General features: G+C 35.8%; 2 protein-coding genes and 1 long non-coding RNA gene across 12 annotated transcripts in view; 1 reads left to right on the top strand and 2 right to left on the bottom strand.

The window, feature by feature from the left end:
* The window catches only part of TDRD6 (tudor domain containing 6), a 24,052-nt gene extending 18,108 nt beyond the window's left edge, over positions 1–5,944 (bottom strand). The window contains exon 1 of the transcript NR_144468.2: positions 4,573–5,944. The gene's annotated coding sequence lies outside the window, so the exon portion shown is untranslated. The remainder of the gene's footprint in view (positions 1–4,572) is intronic.
* The window catches only part of TDRD6-AS1 (TDRD6 and SLC25A27 antisense RNA 1), a 17,722-nt gene extending 1,954 nt beyond the window's left edge, over positions 1–15,768 (top strand). For all 3 annotated transcript variants that reach the window (NR_134643.1, NR_134644.1, NR_134642.1), the window contains exon 2: positions 15,627–15,768. This is a non-coding gene — a long non-coding RNA (TDRD6 and SLC25A27 antisense RNA 1). The remainder of the gene's footprint in view (positions 1–15,626) is intronic.
* The window catches only part of SLC25A27 (solute carrier family 25 member 27), a 25,216-nt gene continuing 13,293 nt past the window's right edge, over positions 8,022–19,944 (bottom strand). For 2 of the 8 annotated variants that reach the window (NM_004277.5, XM_047419575.1), the window contains 4 exons: positions 17,419–17,503; positions 15,985–16,077; positions 14,984–15,086; positions 8,022–9,829 (listed from right to left, as the gene is read on the bottom strand). In NM_004277.5, the coding sequence (NP_004268.3) occupies positions 9,758–9,829; positions 14,984–15,086; positions 15,985–16,077; positions 17,419–17,503 (353 nt within the window). In that variant the 3' untranslated portion in view covers positions 8,022–9,757. The remainder of the gene's footprint in view (positions 9,830–14,983; positions 15,087–15,984; positions 16,078–17,418; positions 17,504–19,944) is intronic. The other 6 variants (XR_007059387.1, XR_007059388.1, XR_007059389.1 and 3 more) reach the window with 6 other exon arrangements.

The raw sequence follows: 19,944 nt of genomic DNA, 5'->3' as shown, positions 1-19,944 counted from the left end.
TATTTCAGGTTCATGTAGTATAACCAAACTCCTTTGTAGACCACAGGGTTGTAGATATTATGACTTTCTGTATTTCATTTGTCCTCCAACCTCCTTCCATGGCTCATGGCCTTAATCCTAGGACGTCAGGGTATATCACGTGGCCGTTATGGGCTGATCTGAATCCTTTACCCCCATCCACCCAGATTTTCCAATGTCCTACCTTTTCTGTATCTGGAGCAGGTAGCATTAGTTTGTTCTGTCATGCTCTGCTGTTGGACAGGGACTCGGGTTAATTTTAAAAATCAGGTCATTGCACTGTTAAGATTAAGCTCCCCTCATATATCTCCCATACTATATTAAACAAAATATCTTGAGTTTTATAATAAATAAACTTTCCTCCCATTAGTCTTGAGAGGCCCTTGGTTTCGGAAAAGAAGGGAGAGGGGATTTTTTTTTTATTATTATTGTACTTTAAGTTCTGGGACATTATGTACAGAACGTGCAGATTTGTTACATAGGTATACACATGCCATGGTGGTTTGCTGCACCCATCAACCCATCATCTACATTAGGTATTTCTCCTAATGCTATCCCTCCCCTATCCTTCCACCCCTTGACAGGCCCCGGTATGTGAAGTTTGGGAGAGAGGATATTCTTATCCTAATACAAATACGTAAGGGATAAAGGGGGAAAGGTTAAGGCCAGGGATGGAATGTGTATGACAGGTGTTTGAATACTAATATTATGAGCCACTTCAATATTTTTTATGGAAACGATGCAGGAAAATTGGGCTAAATAAATCATACTTATTTTGTGCTGTCTTAGGCCTCTGTGTATAGAGAACTCTAAGCAGAAATGCAGTATACTTTACAGTCTATAGTTTCTATACTACTAATTGACTTTGTTTAAAGTTGCTTAGAAAAATTAACATTTACTGGATATTTTTAGAAAACAGTTCAAGTAAGAAATACCCTGTTAGGAGAATGAAAAAGACAAGCTACAGACAGGGAGAAAATATTTGCAAACCACACGTCTGACATAGGACTTGTATCTATAATAGATAAACGACTCTCGAAACTCAATAGTAAAAAAAATAAATTTGAAAATAGGCAAAAGATATGAAGTGGCATTTCACGGAGGAGGATGTACAGATGACAAAGAAGAATATGAAAAGATTTTCAACATCATTAGCTATTAGACAAAAAAAAAAAAAAACCCACAATGTTATATCACCACATGCCATGGTAATGACTAAGCTAAAAAATCGTGATAACACCAGTACTGGCAAGAATGTGAATAAACTGCATCACTTATGTTGCTGGTAAGAATGTAAAATGGTACAGCCACATTTTAAAAACTATGTACTTGCCATATGACTGAAAAATTGCATTTAGGCATTTATCCCAAAGAAAGGAAACATGCTCATGCAAAAACCTGGAACCCAAAACTGGAAACAACCTAAATGCCCTTCGATGGGTAAATGGTTAAACAAACTGTGGTACATCAATACCAAAGGGTCCTACACAGCAATAACAAGGAAAATGAATTATTGATGTGAGCAACAACTTAGGAAGGTTCTCCGTAGAATTTTACTGAGTGAAAAAAAAATAGTAAAAGGTTACATACTGCATTCTATTTACATAATATTCTTAGATTAATAAAATTATAGAGATGGAGAAAAGATTAGTGGCTTCCAGGAGTTAGGGATGGGGAAGAAAAGGGTTGAAAATGCCTATAAAGGGATAGCATCAGGCATGGACTGATGAACTGTTCTGTATCTTGTGTGCAGTGATAGTTATCAAAGCTACACAAAGGTGATGAAATTGCATGGAATGACACACACACACACACACACACACACACAAATGTGTGCTTATAAATTAGTGACTTTGGAATCTGTGGATTGTACCAATGTCAATTTGCTCCTGGTTTTGATTGTGTACAACAGTCATGGTATATCCCTATACGTTTTTCTTTGGAAACTTTATGAAAATCTAAAATTATTTCAAAATAAAAAGCTTTTAAAAATTTAAGATTTCAGTGTCACAAAATACAATTTTATTAGAATACACACACAGACAATTCAAGACCAGATCATTATAGGGGGCAATGAGAGTAGAGAGAGCATAGTCTTTTGAATTACAGCAGGATTGGCCTCCATTTGTAAGAGCCATGTGACCCAGGCAAATAATTTACCCTCTGTTTCCATATCTGAAAATGGATATAACGGCATACACCTTACACTTTGGTTCCAAGGACTGCATGAATTAATGTAAATACAGTTAACATGTTTGCATTAAATAAATACTTGAGATGCAGCAAAACATAGTGGGAAAGGAAGGGCTTTAGATTTTGAAAGTCCATGTTTATCATCTCAGGGTGACATGGATAATAAAATTTTCAGAGTTAGGTTCTCTTCATCTATAAAAATGGAACTATACTTAAATATGAAGACGAAATGAGCCAATATGGGTAAAAGACCCACCACAGGAAACATGTAATAAGTTGTAGTTATTAGTGATATGAATGAAATTAAAACTTAAAAAATATGTTCTCTCCTAGGATTCTTAAAGATTAAAAATCTTAAATTAGGTTTTTTAAAAATTTGGTCTATTTAGGCATAATTTTTGTACAGTAAAACTCACACTTTCATATTGTAGTTTGATATTTTGACAAATGTTTACAGTTTTATTCCCTTAAATAGTGTCTTTTGAAGAAAATTTGTAATTTTGATGAAATCAAATTATTCACATATTTTTCTTTTCTAAATGGTAGTTTATTTTGTTGTTATTGTTCCACTAAATCTTTTACTAACCCAAGGTAAAAAAACAAAACAAAAACCCACAAAACAAACTTTCAATGTTTTTGTTTAGAAGTTTTATAATTTTGGCTCTTGTATTTAGGTCTATGATTCATTTTAAATTAACTTTTTGTAGTGAGGTAAGGGTTGAGGATTTTATTTTTATATATGGATATCCAATTGTTATACTGCCATTTGTTGCAAAGACTATACTTTCCAGTTAAGTTATCTTGGTGCTTTTGCCAAAAATTAATTGACCATATGTATGTGAGTTTATTCTTTGACCCTTTATTCTGTTCCATCAATCTATATATCTGTCTTTGTGCCAATACCCCTTTGTTTTGATTGTTTTCTAAACTGCTTAAAAGCCAATTTTAAAATTAAGTAATATGAATCCTCTTTGTTCTTTTCCCTCAAAATTGTTTTTGATTTTCTATATGTATTTTAGAATATACTTGTCAACTTCTGCAAAAAAATTTGAAGGCTGCTGGGGTTTTATTAGAATTGCTTTGTAGGTAGAGATCAATTTGACAATAATTAACTTTGGAGCAATACTGAGTCTTTTAATCCATGGACACAGTTCATTGCTCTACTAAAATCTTTAATTTCTCTCAGTAATGTTTTATATTTTTCAGTGAACAAATCTTGTACACATTTGTTAGATTTATCCCTAAGTTTTTAATGTTTTTATGCTATTGTAAATAATATTAATTTTTAAATATTTTAGTCCCTAGTTTTTCATTGCCAGTATACCAAAATATATTTTTGTATATTGGCCTTATATCTTGTGAATTTGCTAGGACTTCATTATTAATTCTTGTAGCTTTTGGTAGATTCCTTGGGATTTTTTTTATATATGTAATTATATCATCTGTGAATAAAGGCAGTTCCATGTCTTCTTTTCTAATATATGTGCCTTTTATTTCCTTTTCTTGCTTTACTGCAATGGCTAAGACCTTCAGTACAGATTAGAATAAAATGGTAAGAATTGATATTGCCTTGTTCCTGATTTAAGGAGAAAGTCTTTCACAAATACGATGTTAGCTACAGGTTTTACTTAGATCCTTTTTATCAAGATGAGGAAGTTTCTTTTTTACTCATGTAAAAATTTGAGAATTTTTACATCAAATACTGTTGAATTTTATCAAATACTTTTTCACATTCTGTTGATATATGTTTTGTTTTGTTCTGTTAATTGGATGAATTATATTGATTTTTTAGGATGTTGAACCAATTTTGTATTCCCAGGATAAGTCTCACTTAGTCATGATGTATTATACTTTATATGATGCTGGATTCAATTTGCTAATATTTTTCACATCTACGTACATGGATTTTTAAATTTTCTGTTTATTGTGGTAAAATATACGTAAAACAAAACTTACCATTGAAACCATTTTAAAGTGTAGAGCTCAGTGGCATTAAATATATTCACATTGTTGTACAACCATTACCACTATCCATTTCCAGATTTTTTTCATCATCCCAAACTGAAACTGTACACACTAAACAACTCCTCATTCCCTCCCCACTATTCGAAACTGTCTTTATGAATTTTCATTATTCTAGTACCTCAAGTAGAATCATGTATGTATTCACTTTTGCCTGGCTTATTTCACTCAGCATAATGTTTTTAAGGTTCATCCATGCTGTAGCATGTATTTCCTTCCTTGTTATTACCTTCTTAACTCAGAACTATATCAGGACAAAACAAAACCCGTGATAACAAGCAATTAGGCACTTTAAAATATTTACTTTTAAAATCAGAATAACACAGTTTATTTACTCACATATATTCCTGTTTGTTACCAGATATTTTCAGCAAACAGACATCTTTAAGCATCTTCATCTGCTTTTATCAAACCTTCAACTGGCTCCTGCTGCTGTTGACAATCACAGCAGCCTGTTGGGGGTAAAGTATGGGGAGAGAAGAAAGTAATGTATTCCTCAAAATTCAGAAATAATAAAACACTTGAGTGGGTAAAATGTTCATGTATATGGCATCAATGAAGGCCAAATAGTGATATAATTTCCATACATGCTTTAAAATCACATATTTATTAACTGTTAGTCAATTATATATTATTTAAAACTATCAAATTCTCAATTTTATGGAATAGCTATTAAACAGATGAAGATGATCCTTAAAATTATGACATGTTTTAAACACACATGATCATTTAAAAACATAATTAAGCATTTAATATGGTAAAAAATTTCATAAAATCAGAAGTGTTATTGACCCAACATAATTATTCTGAAGAAGAGAACAAAATGATTTAATCATGTGTATAAATGTCTTTCTCCCCACTCTCCAAAAAACCCTCTCAATTCAACAGATACCTTCAGAGTGGCTCCTATTTGAAGTTTGTAAGGGATACAAAGATGTGTTACATGGTCCTTGCTTTCAAGCAATACATTTTGTGTAGGGGACGCTGATATGTACATCTATGTAGTAGGGGAAGCAGTGGGAGAAAGGGGGTACTGAAGATACTGAAGGCTTCAGAGAGGAAATAGTAGGTGATTATTTTAGATAACTGAGGTAGAATTTAACCAATACAAATAAAGATGAATAGGTGGTGGTGGTGGGAAGAAAGGTAGATGGAGGGAACAGAATAAACTACATAGAAAAGCAGCAAGTATAGTGCATCTCCAGGGAAATAATTAGAGCAATGCATTTCCAAGGAGGTAGGGTACAGGTATGCAGTGAAAGGTAAAAGTGAGAAAAATGGGCTGGAGTCAGGTTGAGAGGGTCTTGGATATAGCATTAAAGGTTTTAATTTTTAGTATGTGTGTATATAGGAGAAATTGAAGGTGAGAATATGCCCAAAGTTGCCCCATGGAAGACGACTGTGCTTCCCTGTGAAGAATGGATTTCAGGGTGACAGTCCAGACACGTCAGAAGTCTGTATTGTACTTTAAGGTCTGAATAATTTTTCCCCATCTTGAAATATGAGAATATAAACCCAAGCATAAAGAATCCTAATGACATTTTTAAAATTCTATTTTTTTAAACATCACATCAATATGGCTCCCTTTAGGTATACACAGGTTAAGATTCTAGAGTTCAATCACTTCAGCTTTTCTTTTTTTTTTTTTCTTTCACGGACAGAGTCTCCCTCCGTTGCCCAGGCTGGAGTGCAGTGGTGTGATCTCAGTTCACTGCAACCTCTGCCTCCTGGGTTCAAACAATTCTCCTGTCTGAGCCTCCCGAGTAGCTGCGACTACAGGCGCATGCTAATTTTTTGTATTTTAGTAGAGACGAGGGTTTCACTGTGTTGCCCAGGCTGGTCTTGAACTCCTGAGCTCAGGCAGTCCGCCCGCCTTGGCCTACCAAAGTGCTGGGATTACAAGCGTGAGCCACCGCGCCCGTCCCACTTCAGCTTTTAAGGAAATGGGAATTCAGAGAAGTGGAGGGACTTGATCCTAGTTATACTCTTCTGTCAGAAGTAGAACCCAAAATAGGATAAAGATCTTTAGATTCTGGGTTCAGTCTTTCTTCCACATTATCTGACATTCAATAATAATATATATTTGCTGGGTAGTCATCTTTAAAGAGTCTCAGTTTAATTGGGAAGAAAAGAATTACTTATTTTCCTTTCCAAAGAAATTGTTTTAACCATCAAGTATTAAAATTGACCATTTTTTCTAGGAAAGTCCTGAAGGAATTTGTTTTCATTAATAGAAAAAATATATGTAATTATAACAACTGTAAATAAATGTGCTTGAAAATTTGAAGATGACTGAATAACAAATCCTTTCATATTTATATTGTCCTGAATTTTTATTTTTTTATTAGCAAAGTAAAAGAGAAATTGCAGACTCATATGATAGTCACAGATTCTTTTTTTTTTTTTTTTTGAGATGGAGTCTCACTCTGTCACCCAGGCTGGAGTGCAGTGGCATGATCTCGGCTCACTGCAAGCTCCGCCTCCTGGGTTCACGCCATTCTCCTGCCTCAGCCTCCCTAGTAGCTGGGACTACAGGCGCCCGCCACCACGCCCCGCTAATTTTTTGTATTTTTAGTAGAGACGGGTTTCATCATGTTAGCCAGGATGGTCTCGATCTCCTGACTTCGTGATCCGCCCACCTCGGTCTCCCGAAATGCTGGGATTACAGGCATGAGCAACCATGCCTGGCCAGTCACAGATTCTTAAAACAATAAAGATAAAATTAATTGATTCATGTTATACGTAGCTGTAATCATTTTTTCTTAATAGCAAAGAAATGCTACTAAAGAGAGCAGAGATTTATATAAAAATGGAAGATGTATACCTACCCACTAGTAGCTTACAATCAAATAGTATTGGGAGCACTTGAAAAAGACATGTTATTCCATATTGAAAGCAAACTTAATAAATGTTATCCCTTTAATTATATATAAATTAATTCATATATAATTTATATCATATATGGCAAATTTAGTCTATAATTATATATACTAATTCATTTATACATATAAAAAACTACATAATTAAAAATAAGTATATGCATTTTCAGTAAGAAAAAAATCATTTGAGAGGAGAAAAAATAGAGAAATACCACATAGAGTAGTACTATAAGTAAGTGAGTTTGGAATTCTTAAGTCTGTGAGTATGGACACAAAAATTACTGAAATTTTTAATCCTTTTTATTTACTGAGGATTATTTTGGAAAACAAGATGATTCCAAGTTGGCAAAAATAAGCAATGTTCCAAAATAATCAGTAGATATGATTTCACCAGAAAATTATGAATGTGATTGGATAAGTATTGGGTATACTGGATTTGGTTAGGTTATAGAAGGTCTTCATGTTCAAGCTAAAGCATGGTGACTCCATTCTAAAATGTATGCTAGAGACAATTCAGATTCATCTAAAATGTATGAGACATAAAAATGCCATAAGGAAAAATCTGTTTTTAGAAGACTCTACTGGGTTGTGACCATGACATAAGACCCTTCCTTGGTACCTAATTAGTGAACAATAACTCTCAGTCATAATAATCATATTAGGAGAACTGTGTTTTTATCCTGGCTCTGCTACTAAGTCACTCATGAGCATAAACAACTCTACTTCTCTGAATCTCAGTTTACTAACATGTGAAATGGGAAGGTTAAATTAGATAATCCCAAGGAGTCATTTCAGGTTAAAAGTTCCTGAAATTCGTGTTGATCCAGATCCCAAGGAATGATGTCAGTGCGTAAGCAGTGTTTTCATCCCAACTCCCCGACCCCACAAAGAATAAAGCTAAATCAATTGTTCACGGTCCAGGTTGGATGCAATTATTTTGATCCAGTCTTTACTTAATTTTAAAAATTACAAAACATAAAAACAAACAAAATTTTCCCTAAGTGGTTCAATGCAGAACACTTGGGAAGTTAAGCATATATATATATATATATATATATATATATATATAATATTTTACAACGCAATTACATATTGACAAATTCAATGAAAAAGTAGACCATCTAAATATTTTAAGAGATTAAACTTCACATTCTCTGCAACTAGAAAAACAATAAGCTACTGCATATCAGTACATGACATTCAAATATATTTTAAAATGTACTTCCCCCTCTTAAAATGGCAGTGAGTATACATTAGTGCAACCACAAAGCACTTGTAAACTTTTTTCTGTTCAACATCATCCATGTCCATTAGAACAAATTCTGTTTGGCTGGCTCCAAGGCCTTTCTTGGGCCTGAGCTTTTCATGTTTTTCTGTGTTAACAGTTACAGCCTTTATCCATAACCGCAGCCATCCATCCAGAAATGCCCACCGTCTGAGGTTGGGAGAGCCGGTGGTATGTAGCTGAATTTGAAGAACTCTTACCTTTCTAAAATAAGAACATGGATTTGATTCAAAGATTCGAGACATAACTGTATACCATAAACAGATTTTTACTTATCACTTTTTAGGCAAGAATTTTTGCTAAACTGAGTAAGAGTCAGGCCGCTGGCAGTTTTAGTGTGATTTGTGAGTGCTCTCTCTGCCTCTCTAGAGCCCCTAGTGTCAGGTAAGGGAGATAAGAAAGGACGCATGTCAGAGTTGGCTGACTTCATATCTATCTGCCTTGCTTTTAAAATACCAATGAAAGGCTGATGTTTAACAAAAGGTGCTTTATAAAAGGATCTATACAGCTGAGTTTTAATCAAATAAGTTGTAGTTCTTAATATATTACAACTCTTGAGAGCTAGCAACATATCTGGCTTGTAACAGACTATGTAACAAGGCAAATGCTCTTCTCTTTTTTCATCAAGATTCGGTGTGTGGCTGTCAGAGGAAGTCATTAGCATGTGCAGTGGAGTGCTAACTAATTAACACAGATCTAATGAGAGGGCACTGACAGAAAGCAGCCTCTTTTCTTGAAATTCAAACATCATCTCAACTTGATTTTTTTTATCTTTCTGACAAGAAAAAGTACACCTTCCTTCAACACTAGGGAAACTCAAAATGTTTATTCATTAATTTCCATTCACCTCCCTTTAATTTACAGTATGTACGCTTTAACAATGACAGAAAAGTGAATTATCAAACTTCATTGATAAATACTGACATAACAGGTTAAATGTATTTCTTAAGCACTATGTATGTGTTCTTCCACATTCCTATCGTCTACTTCAGATCTGAAATGCTGGCTCCCTCCTGGTACTCCTCCTCTAAGCAGGCTCTTCAGCATAGAATAGCAACTCAAAGGCCAAACCTTCTTGCCCAAGGTGAAAGTGGTCAGGCTTCGATTCTTCTTTAGAAAATGCTGTGCGGGGTCTCATTGGATGGCCTTGTGAGATCCGACCAGATCACTTTTGGACAAAAAGAGGAGTCAAAGAGAACTTGGGTTTCCAGAAAAAAATAAAGTGCTGCCCCCTATAAATCAGTCTCTGTGGAATAGGTGTCTTCCTAAAGAGGTAGAAATAATAGGGGGTATGTGTTGCAGATGCCCATATTTCAATAATACTGAACACTGTATCTTTAAGGGTTGCATCTTTAGGGGTTTAAAATGGACTGACTCCACTCATCTCTCTGATTTTTTCATAAGTAAGCCAGAACACCATTGACCAAGGGGTCTGAAAGATTAACCAAAGAAGTTAGTGCATATTTCAAAGCAATTATAAATAGTCTACATATGTGCATACATATATTTGAATGACAAAGTCATTTTGCAACCACTTAGGCTGAAAACAAATATTTTGGTATTTCACCTTTGTAAAGGACTTTATAATTTACAAAGCATTTTTTATGTCTTATATATCACAGATTTCTCTAAACAACATCTTACAATAGAAAGGAAAGATATTAATATCCCTGATTTTCAGATGAGACCACTGAAGCTTAGCAGTCAAATGCCTGTTGACATGTTGTAGAGCTAGACCACAGGCTTCTGTTTTCCATTCTCAGAGTTCTTTTTATTGAACCATTACTGGCTAAAGGGCTGGGACTCAAGATGCCTGAATTCTAGGCAGGCTTTTCTATATCTAGTTTGTATATGGAGCATAAAAATAAGTCACTTTAGAACTTGAAAGTGAGGAAGGTGAAAGATTATCCATGGAGATTTAGGTCATAAAACCAACACCTGATGTCTCACAACATTTATATAAAAATTCACATTAAATAGAAAAAAGCCCTTCCAGTTCAGAAAGGCTTGTCTTTAACTTGAATGAAGGTATGGCTACATCTAAAGGAATTATAAAAGAATAAGGGTTAGAAGAGGACATAAATGCTAAAGATGTAAACTGTAAAGACACAGAGGGAAATCACAGGGTAAACACTGGAACAGAGAAAGAGTGCCTTGGATCTAATAATTCCTGCCTAATTCAGTTCTAATCAAAATTGAACAGAGAGTAGCTCTATCATTCTAGAGTAGATAAATAAGCTTAAGCAATTAGAAAATCAAATGTATTTGGTTTTGTTTGTAAAGCAAGGTTTATCTCATATTTGTTTGGAAATACTGAGCATGCTATATTAGTAAACTGAGAATTCACTAAATAGTGGATTTAGGAGAATATATCTTGGTTATTTAAAGGTATGATGACATAGATGAAATAAGGAATATAAAGCTACGATGATACCATATTCTTGTAATAAAAATGAAGTAAACCAATATACTTGGAGTTGGATGAAGAAGGTAGAGGTCTTAGTTAAGAACCCCTATGCAATCATTCTTAATTGCTGTGGTAATCAATCTTCTTCATGTTAATGACATTATAGCAACAAAATCCATAGGCAAATGAAATAAGTACTAACCAGGGACTGAGCAAAGCAAGGTCATAGTACCTCTACCCAGTAGAAGGGATCAGGATAGAGTTTAGCTAGATTTTGAATAGAGTTTTTAAAGAGTGGGAGATCATATAGCCAAAAATGTGGGTGGTATATAAATGGGATTTACCAAGCCTCTGTACAGGAGTAGCACATGTGGGCACTATGTTTGCTTGCTGATTTTCTCGCTGATACAGCTATGAGCATTGCAAATAATCCAGTGTATATGAACCCATATTGTTTCTTTTGGTCTATCTTTTGCCATAAGGCTAGAGAAAAACCAGAAGCAGGGTCCCTTTTCATGCCTGCTACTGTGGAGTTGAACATATAAGAGCTCTCTTGGGTTGATTAAGTTTACAAATAAGCTCTTCCTGTTTTGAATCTGTGTTAAGAAAGTAACCTTCTAATTATTACTTGAGTACCCATATAGCTTGAATTTAGGAAAAAACACATTGGCCAGAGGACTTGAACATCCAGATCACTTGCCAAATGTGTTGTGCAGTGTGAATGAGCCAACTATTGTGGCCTGATCATCAGTGTCAATGAGATCAGCTGAGTCGAATCTGTATTTTCAAGGCCAATTTACTTGGAAATGCTCATGAATTAGGTTTCTGTGCTCTGGGTCATGCACTGTGGCAAGTCAACCAGGCAGTGACTTTCTGGTGATCTTTGGTGGTTAGCCAGCCTTTCTTTAAATACCCCTCCACTGCTAGGAATGTCTCTTCAATTTTAAAACTTCTGTAGCTAGCTGCAGGATGTTGAGCAAATCAGTATATTGTATCAGTAAGGAGCGTAGGGTTTTGAGTGGAACAGATCTGAGGTCAGTTCCCAGCTCTGCCACATACTAGCTACATGAACTTGGGCAAGCTTCTTATACTCTGAGCCATGATTTTCTTATCTGAAAAATGAGGATAATACTGCTTGTTTTGCTAGGTTCTTATACAGTTTTAAAAAGTAATGTATGTAGAGCTTTGCACGTATTAAGTACTCTTTTTTTCCTTATTTATACTTCCTGAGTCATATGTATAAAGACAAAGGATTAAACAAAGTGGTCCCATCCTTTGTACTTAAATATTCTACTTGCCCCTCATCCCTCCTGACCCTGAGTTTGTGTTTCTGCAATGGTCTCACTCATCCTCCTAGTTTCCTGCATTAGAATTAGAAACACAGGAAGTCCCATTTGCTTTTTTCTGTCCCTCACCTTCTACATATAATCAGTTACTAAGTCCTATGGAGTTAACCATAAATGTCCCTAAAATTTATCTCCTCTCCATTTCTACAGTCATCTAACTGGTTAGATCATTGCTAGAACTTCCTTTCTTACATCCTAGCTTTCAATGCATCTACTATACGACTTCCAAAGTAATCTTGCTGTCAAACAAACCTTAGCACATTGTTCCCGGGCTTAAGCAAGTGCTCCATAGAGTTCATCTAAACTACTAGGCTTGGCCCACAAGGTTCTTCCCAACTTGGTCCTTAAGTACTTCTCTAGCCTTATCTCCTACCACCTCCCCTATGAGGACCTATTCTTCAACCAGACTGAATTTTCTGTAGTTCTTCAAAGATAACAGGCCTACACATGACATGATGCCTATGCTCATGTTGCACCTTTATATTTCTCTTGACAAACGCCTATTGATGCCTCAAAGCCCAGATCAAATATCAGCTCTGTGAAGCCTCTTGCGACTTCCCAAATATGGTCATAGCCATTTCCACTCCACTATCTGTGTTCCCACAGAGTACTGTTCATACCACTGGTAAAGCAAGAATACAACCTCCTTAATAAGGCTGTGTTATTGGGTGTCAGGCCACCTGGGTTTGATGCCCTGAACCACTCACCTGGCCAAGCTATTTAGACTTTTGATGCTTTTTGTTTCCTTCTCTATAAAAGAGGGATATGATAGTAACCTGCTGCACAGATTGTTGGGGAAATTCAACGAGTTAAGTCATGAAAATGATTAGCACAGTGTTGGCCATATACCAAGTGATTCAGTAGTATTTATTTAGTAATTTTTATTATTTCTGTAATTTTAACTACTTACATGTTTAACTTCTACATCTCATTGTAAGCTCCTCCAGTGCAAAGACTATGTTATTCCTCAGTGTTACCAGCACTTATAACAGTGCCTGGTTTATGCAGGCCAAATCAAAATTTACCTTTCCAGTAAGAAACAACCACAGTTTTGACATAATTTCAAGGTATAATCAAAACCACCAAAATAACATCTCAAACTCTGGTATACTTTTATCAGGTATTGCCAAGGGCTTTGGCTATTACTTTCATGTTAATACACAAATACCTACTATTCCTTGATGATATCATTTATTATCAACATTTCAATTACCATCTATATGTGGAAAATGCTCAAATCTAAACCTCCATCCCTGTATTCTCTCCTAAGACATAGACCAATATATTCAGTTTGTCATCTAGACATCTCTGCTTGGATGTCCTATGGGTATCCAAAATTTCATAGGTCTTAAACTAACCTTATTTTATCCCCAAATCTTCCCTGCAGATGATCCCCGTTTTAGGAAATTACATCATCATCCTCAGTTGCTCAGAGCAGGAATCTGGGAATGAAGTCTGACTTTTCCTTATCTTCTCCAACCATTCTCCCATCCCCATCCAATCAGTCATGTTTCTATTCCCTTTCTACCTCCTAAACATGTTTTTAATCCATCTTCTATTCCCACTGTCATACTCTTGTCCAAGCCACCATTATCTCTCATATATCACTACTCCTGGCCTTTTCCCAATCCACACGACAGGCAGAACAAATTTTCTAAAAATGCATATTTCTTCAAACTGGTGCCCATTACTCTTCTGGCTCATATGGTCCTTCCTAGTGTGGTGTCTGCCTCTCTGTGGTCTCACCCCTTGACTCTCTCCATGAGGTCTCTGTAGCTTGGTCTGCTAGGTTTCCTTGAACTCACCCTGCTCTCTGTCCACTCCAACTGTCCCTCTATAGAGAATGTTTTTTTTCCTGCCCTCTTTCCTGGCTAAGTCATACTCATTTTGCAAATCTAAATTCAGAAGTCCATTCTCCAGGGAGGTTTACTCAATTGCCAGCTTAGGCTGTGCTTATTTGCTATATATTTCCATAGCATTATGCACTCTTCCCATAACATTTATCACTTATAGTTTCTTATTCAAAGCTGAGTCCTCAGTATAGGGCTTTGCATGATGTAGGTACTCAATTAAAAAGATACATATAATATTACATTATATATAATTGTATTATAATATATTGTGTTAATTTTTGATTGCTTGAATTTCTAAACCTATAACTCACCTATTCTTTCAAATGTTTTAACTTACAAAAAACGTCAGCACTTTGTTTTTATTATATTTGCTATATTACTTAAACAAGTCTATCTAATTCTACATTATAGAATTAGAATTCTATATTTTATTTGCTATATTGCTTAAACAAGTCTATCTAATTCTATATCTTAATTCACTGCAATGAAAAATAACATCTAAACCAAATAAAAATGACATAATATTTTCTTACTAAGCAGAGTTTTGTGGTAATAAATATTAATGGGTAATGTAACATCTGCTATCAAAGTAACAAATTTTTTTGAAACAGTATTTTTTTTTGTAGGAGAGGTCTCTAGTGTAAAATCTGTATATATATTCTAAAATATTGTATTAAAATATGACTAAATGAAATACTAAAAATTTTACATTACAGAAAATCTATTTACTGGCTTTATAACAAGACTATCAACTTATTCGTCAATGGATGTAACTTATTTTACCTTACTCTACCACAGAAGGCAAGATAACTCTGAGGAGAAGTGAAAGGAAATAAAAGAAGATTTAAAAAAGAAAGAAAGGACCTTGATTTGGGGGGCAGGGCCATGCTTCAAACCAGAAGAGAAAAGGGAAAATGCTTATAAATTAAAAGTAATTTAAGTACAAAGAAAAAAAACAAAGGAAGTAAACCTAACTTTACCATTCTCAGCCAAGATGGTAAAAAGCCTTTATATAGACTCATGAATCCTTCACCTTGAACAGCCTGAATCAAGCAGTCAGTCGATGATTTATACAAAAGTCCCCTAAAAAGGAAACAAGATCCTTTTAATTTTTTTCTGTGTAAAAAAATATATATGTACATAAAAATTGTCTAAGGAATCTTATAAAAATTAAATATTGGCCGGGCGCGGTGGCTTACGCCTGTAATCCCAGCACTTTGGGAGGCCGAGGCAGGCAGATCATGAGGTCAGGAGATGGAGGTCATCCTGGCTAACACGGTGAAACCCCATCTCTACTAAAAAAATTAGTCGGGCATGGTGGCAGGCGCCTGTAGTCCCAGCTACTCAGAAGGCTGAGGCAGGAGGATGGCTTGAACCTGGGAGGCGGAGCTTGCAGTGAGCGGGAGATCACGCCACTGCACTCCAGCCTGAGAGACAGAGTGAGACTCTGTCTCAAAAAAAATAAATAAATAAATAAAATTTCTGCTAGTTTAGAAAAATATTTGTGGTTCTACAGATACAGAAAACTTGTTTTGATCTTAAAGATATTTTCAAGGTTAACTCTTCTGATTCATGCCACCCTTGGTCTTATATTTAGAATTCATTCTATCTTTTCTCTTCCAGGGAGAACATACTATTTCATATCAAATCAGATTCTCCACGTTACCTACTCAAGTCATAAGCGTCTGAAGAAAGTGCTCTGTAAATTCTCAGCAGAATATGCTTTTAACAATTCTTTAAAAACAATAAAGTCATAATAAAAATCTTGTGTCTAAATAATATGATTGTTAATTAGCTTATCTCCCCAAATGCATGTCACTTTTTCATCAAAGAGCAGGTAATTGCATAAAAAAAATGCGCTCAATTTTCTCAAAAAACACACAAATACATTTCTATCAATAAAAAATGCAGAGATGCATCTTTAAAACACAAAGGTATTACAGATATTCAAGCACATGGATACTGAAGACTTTTTATCTACCTTCCTTGTTTATCTCGTGGTTGATTCATTATTCTGCTTTTGATGACATCGGCTGGTGTTCCCAGAATAGAAGCTACCAGTCCAGAACATAAACTATAAATACAAATAAATGAAATTGAAAGATGGTATGTAGTAGTTTGTAGCTTAGGAAAGGGAATGTGGTATTCAGAAAGAATATAATACTAAATATATTCTTACAAGCTTCATAATGCTCTTTTTGCTTAAAATTAATGCTAAATTAATTAAAGAGGTAGAAAAACAACAAAAAGAATGTCAGTCAACAAACAGGCATTGTGCACCTGCTGGTGTCAAGCATTCTTCTAGGCAGTGAACAAGACAGGTAAGACCCTGCCCTTGAGGAGCTTATACTTCACTTGGGAAAAGGCAGAAGTCAAATAAATAATTTCAGAAGCTGACAAAAGCTATGAAAAAAACATGGGGAAGTGTGACAGGGAGCAACTGGGTGACAGGCAGTCAGGGAAAGCTCCGGGGGTGACAGCAGAATTGAGTGGTTACAAAGGACACATGTATATGAAGACCTGAAGGAAGAATGTTACAAGAAGATAGAACAGTACATGCAAAAGCCGAGTCAGTAATACTCTTGGAGTGGTTAAATTCACATGCGTGTGTGCATGCGCGTGCACACACACACCCCTACCTCCAAATATTTGACTTGACACTATTACACTTTTAGGGTTGTCTACTTTTAGGGTCATCTAAATAGCATAGGAAGTTTTAGAATTTGGAAACGATCAGAAGCTAAATGAAATCACTATAATGTCAAGGACAGTAGACATCTATAAAATAAGTCATTCTAATGGATAATTTGAAATTGTGTTGCAAAGAGATCAAGGTACTGCTCCTTCCTGGAAAGCCCTTCGTATCCCTTTCTGTGAAGAGTCACAGCCTTTGAAAACCCTTGTCTATTTCTACCTCCTTTGTGGATCCTTCCAAGTGGTTATGTTTTTTCCTTCCCCTGAACCCTGTAGTAACTAGTTGCTTCCTTTTAGCATTTCCTGTAGAGTGTTTTTATATTTGTCTTGTTTTCCTGGTTGGTAAGTTCCCTGGGTAGGAATTGAGTTTACCCCTTTGGTGCCCACTGCAGAGCCCTGCCCAGTGCCTTTAACATAAAAGGCACTCAAACATATCTGTTGAAATGAGTTGGAGAGTCCATCATCATAGCCTGTTCCTGGGATGGCCCCATCAAGATGCAAATATTTTGAGAGGTTTAATCCAAAACATCCTACAACTTTGTCTGTCTCTTCCCCATTCTAACTGCAAGAAACTTTAAGAAATTTCTCTTTATAAATGTACTCTTCTCTAAAGGTGATGCCAGTACAATCCCAATCAAATGAGCCTAAAGAATTTATGTCAAATATGGAAGAAAAAGTGATACAAAAAAAAAAAACAGAGTCCAACTAAAACAATCCTTACCTTGATAAACCGTGAGTCATGATATTGTCCTCAAGTGGTGTATTCAATACCAAGTAGTGTTTCACTGTATCATAAGTGGTTAAATCTGGCAATGGAAAAAGTTTAAATATTCATCAGTCAACAGTGAATGTCTTTTGTGTCAAGAATATGCTAGGCTTGGGGCAGGAATGTGTACCAGGATGAAAGCTACCAAGGAATCCTTCTTGTTCTCAAGGAAAGCACAGCTACAGATAGAGGGAGAGAAAAAGAAGAAGAGACAGAAAGTCAAATGTATCATTTAGACTCCTTAATCTAGCTATGCCTAAATTCAGCTCAACCCCTGGGCCTTTCAGTATTTGAGCCAATAAATTACTTTTTTAGCCAAAAAAGTAATTTGATCAAGTAATTTGAATTGAGATCCTGTCACTTATAAATAAAAGGTCCTGACTATTATTCTACATTAAGCATTTTATACATTTTCAAGACAGGGTCTCTGTCACACAGGCTTGAGTGCAGTGGCGTGATCGCGGCTCACTGCAACCTCCGCCTCCTGGGCTCAAGTGATTCTTGTGCCTCAGCCTCCCAAGTAGCTAGGATTACAGGTGTGCATCTGGCTAATTTTTCAATATTTTTGTAGAGATGGGGTTTTACTATATTACCCAGGCTGGTCTCCAACTCCGGAGCTCAAGAGATCTGCTCACCTCAACCTCCCAAAGTGCTGGGATTATAGGCATGAGCCGCCGCGCCTGGCCCTTTTATACATTTTTCTAATGGCAATGAAGAGCTATGGAAGGGTTTTAAATAGGAGAATGACATCACAATGCTAGAGTTATATAAAGTTAACCCACACTAAAGTATGGGGAAGTAAGTTGTAATGAGGCAAGAATGGATAGGTACATTTGATCACATTGGGGGAAACAGCCATGGACAAAATGAACAAAAATCCTTGCTCTCTGTTGTGGGATGAGACAATAAAGTAAACTACATGGTGTTTCAGATGCACTTGCTCTTGAAGTAAATGCCCTGAAGACAAAGAAGGTAAGGAAAGGGGACAGAGAGTACCAGAGGGTAGGGAGGAATAGTTTCTATTAATTTTAAATTGGGTGATCAGGCAAGACCTCTTGATAAGTGGACATTTGAACAGAGACCAAAAGAAAGCATGAGAAAACAACCCTGTAGATAGCTAAGAGAAATTGCCCCAGGCAAAAATACAGTATGTTTTCTAACCCTGAGTCAGGAGTCAGCTTGCTGTGTTAGAGGAACAGCCAGAAGACTGGGCCGGCAGCAGCAGAATATGCAAGAAGTAGCAGAGTCTAGATGATGAAGAGCAGAAGCCAGGGGAGGCTTTTGAGCAGAGGAGTGACTGCCCAAGGTTACTATTTAGAACTTAATAGAACTATCGAGTTCTTACTGGAACTTAATAGAACTCAATAGTTCCTATTAAGAGTAGACTACAGGAAAACAAGGCAGAGCAGTAATCCCAGTAAGCGATGATGACGACTTGAATTAGGGAGTTGTGGAGCCCTGGTCAGATTCTGGATAAATTTTGAAGAATCAACAGGATCAGCCAGCAAACCGAATATGGAACGGAGAAAGAAATCAAAAACAACTGCAAGGTTTTGAGTGTGAACAATTTAAAGGACAGAGGCACCATTTATAGGGATGGTGAAAATGAAGACAGTTTTAAATTAAAAAAAATAAGGTAGTAGCAAAGGTAATCTTGATAAAATCAGTTTCAAAGGCATAGTGGGGCAAAATGGGAATGGGGTAGATATGGAAAGACTAGTTAGAAGGCCTCTGTAGTGGTCCAGTAGGAGGGGATAAATAATACTTGGACTACAGAATGGCTCCAGGAATGGAGAAAAGTGTATGAGTTTGAGATATATCTGGAAGATGGAACGACTGGATTTGGTGACTGCTTGGATATAAGCAATGGAGCAAATGAAAGAGAAGAGCCAAAAATCATGCCTGAGTTTCTGCTTGTACAGCTGAGAGAGTGGTGATATATTTTTGAAATTATGAAGAATGTAGAAAGAATGGTGTGAAAGAAGAGTTTCTAGCTTCTTTCTCATACTAAGAAAGAATTGGTGTGATAAAAGAGTTTGGTTTGGACATATTCAAAGTAATGTGCTTGAGATATCCAAAAGAAGATACTGAGTAAATAGCTGGAACTTGGAAGAGAAATTTTGGCTACAATAGATTTTGAACCAATGAATTAAGAAAGTACAATCATAAAGATTTTCTGAAAATCAAAATATCCACAAATATACAGTAGACACAGACAGACTCTAATAGCAAAGCTGAAAACAGATTGACTTCCTTTGATGTTTAGGTGCTATATTTCTAGAACCCTCAAACATGCTATTTATATATTTCTTAGAACCATATAATTAGTCTTAGAAAGGATTATTTCATTAATTCATTCTTCAAATGTTTATTGACTACGTATGAGGGTCTGGGAAAATAAAGATGAATAAAACACAGTCCTTGCCTTCAAAGGGTTTATAATATAGTGGAGGATATGGACATGCAGTAGCAGGCAAGGAA

The sequence above is a fragment of the Homo sapiens genome, chromosome 6 (assembly GCF_000001405.40).
Source record: "Homo sapiens chromosome 6, GRCh38.p14 Primary Assembly".
Taxonomy (NCBI): Eukaryota; Metazoa; Chordata; class Mammalia; order Primates; family Hominidae; genus Homo; species Homo sapiens.
This window is presented reverse-complemented; position numbering and strand designations above follow the sequence as displayed.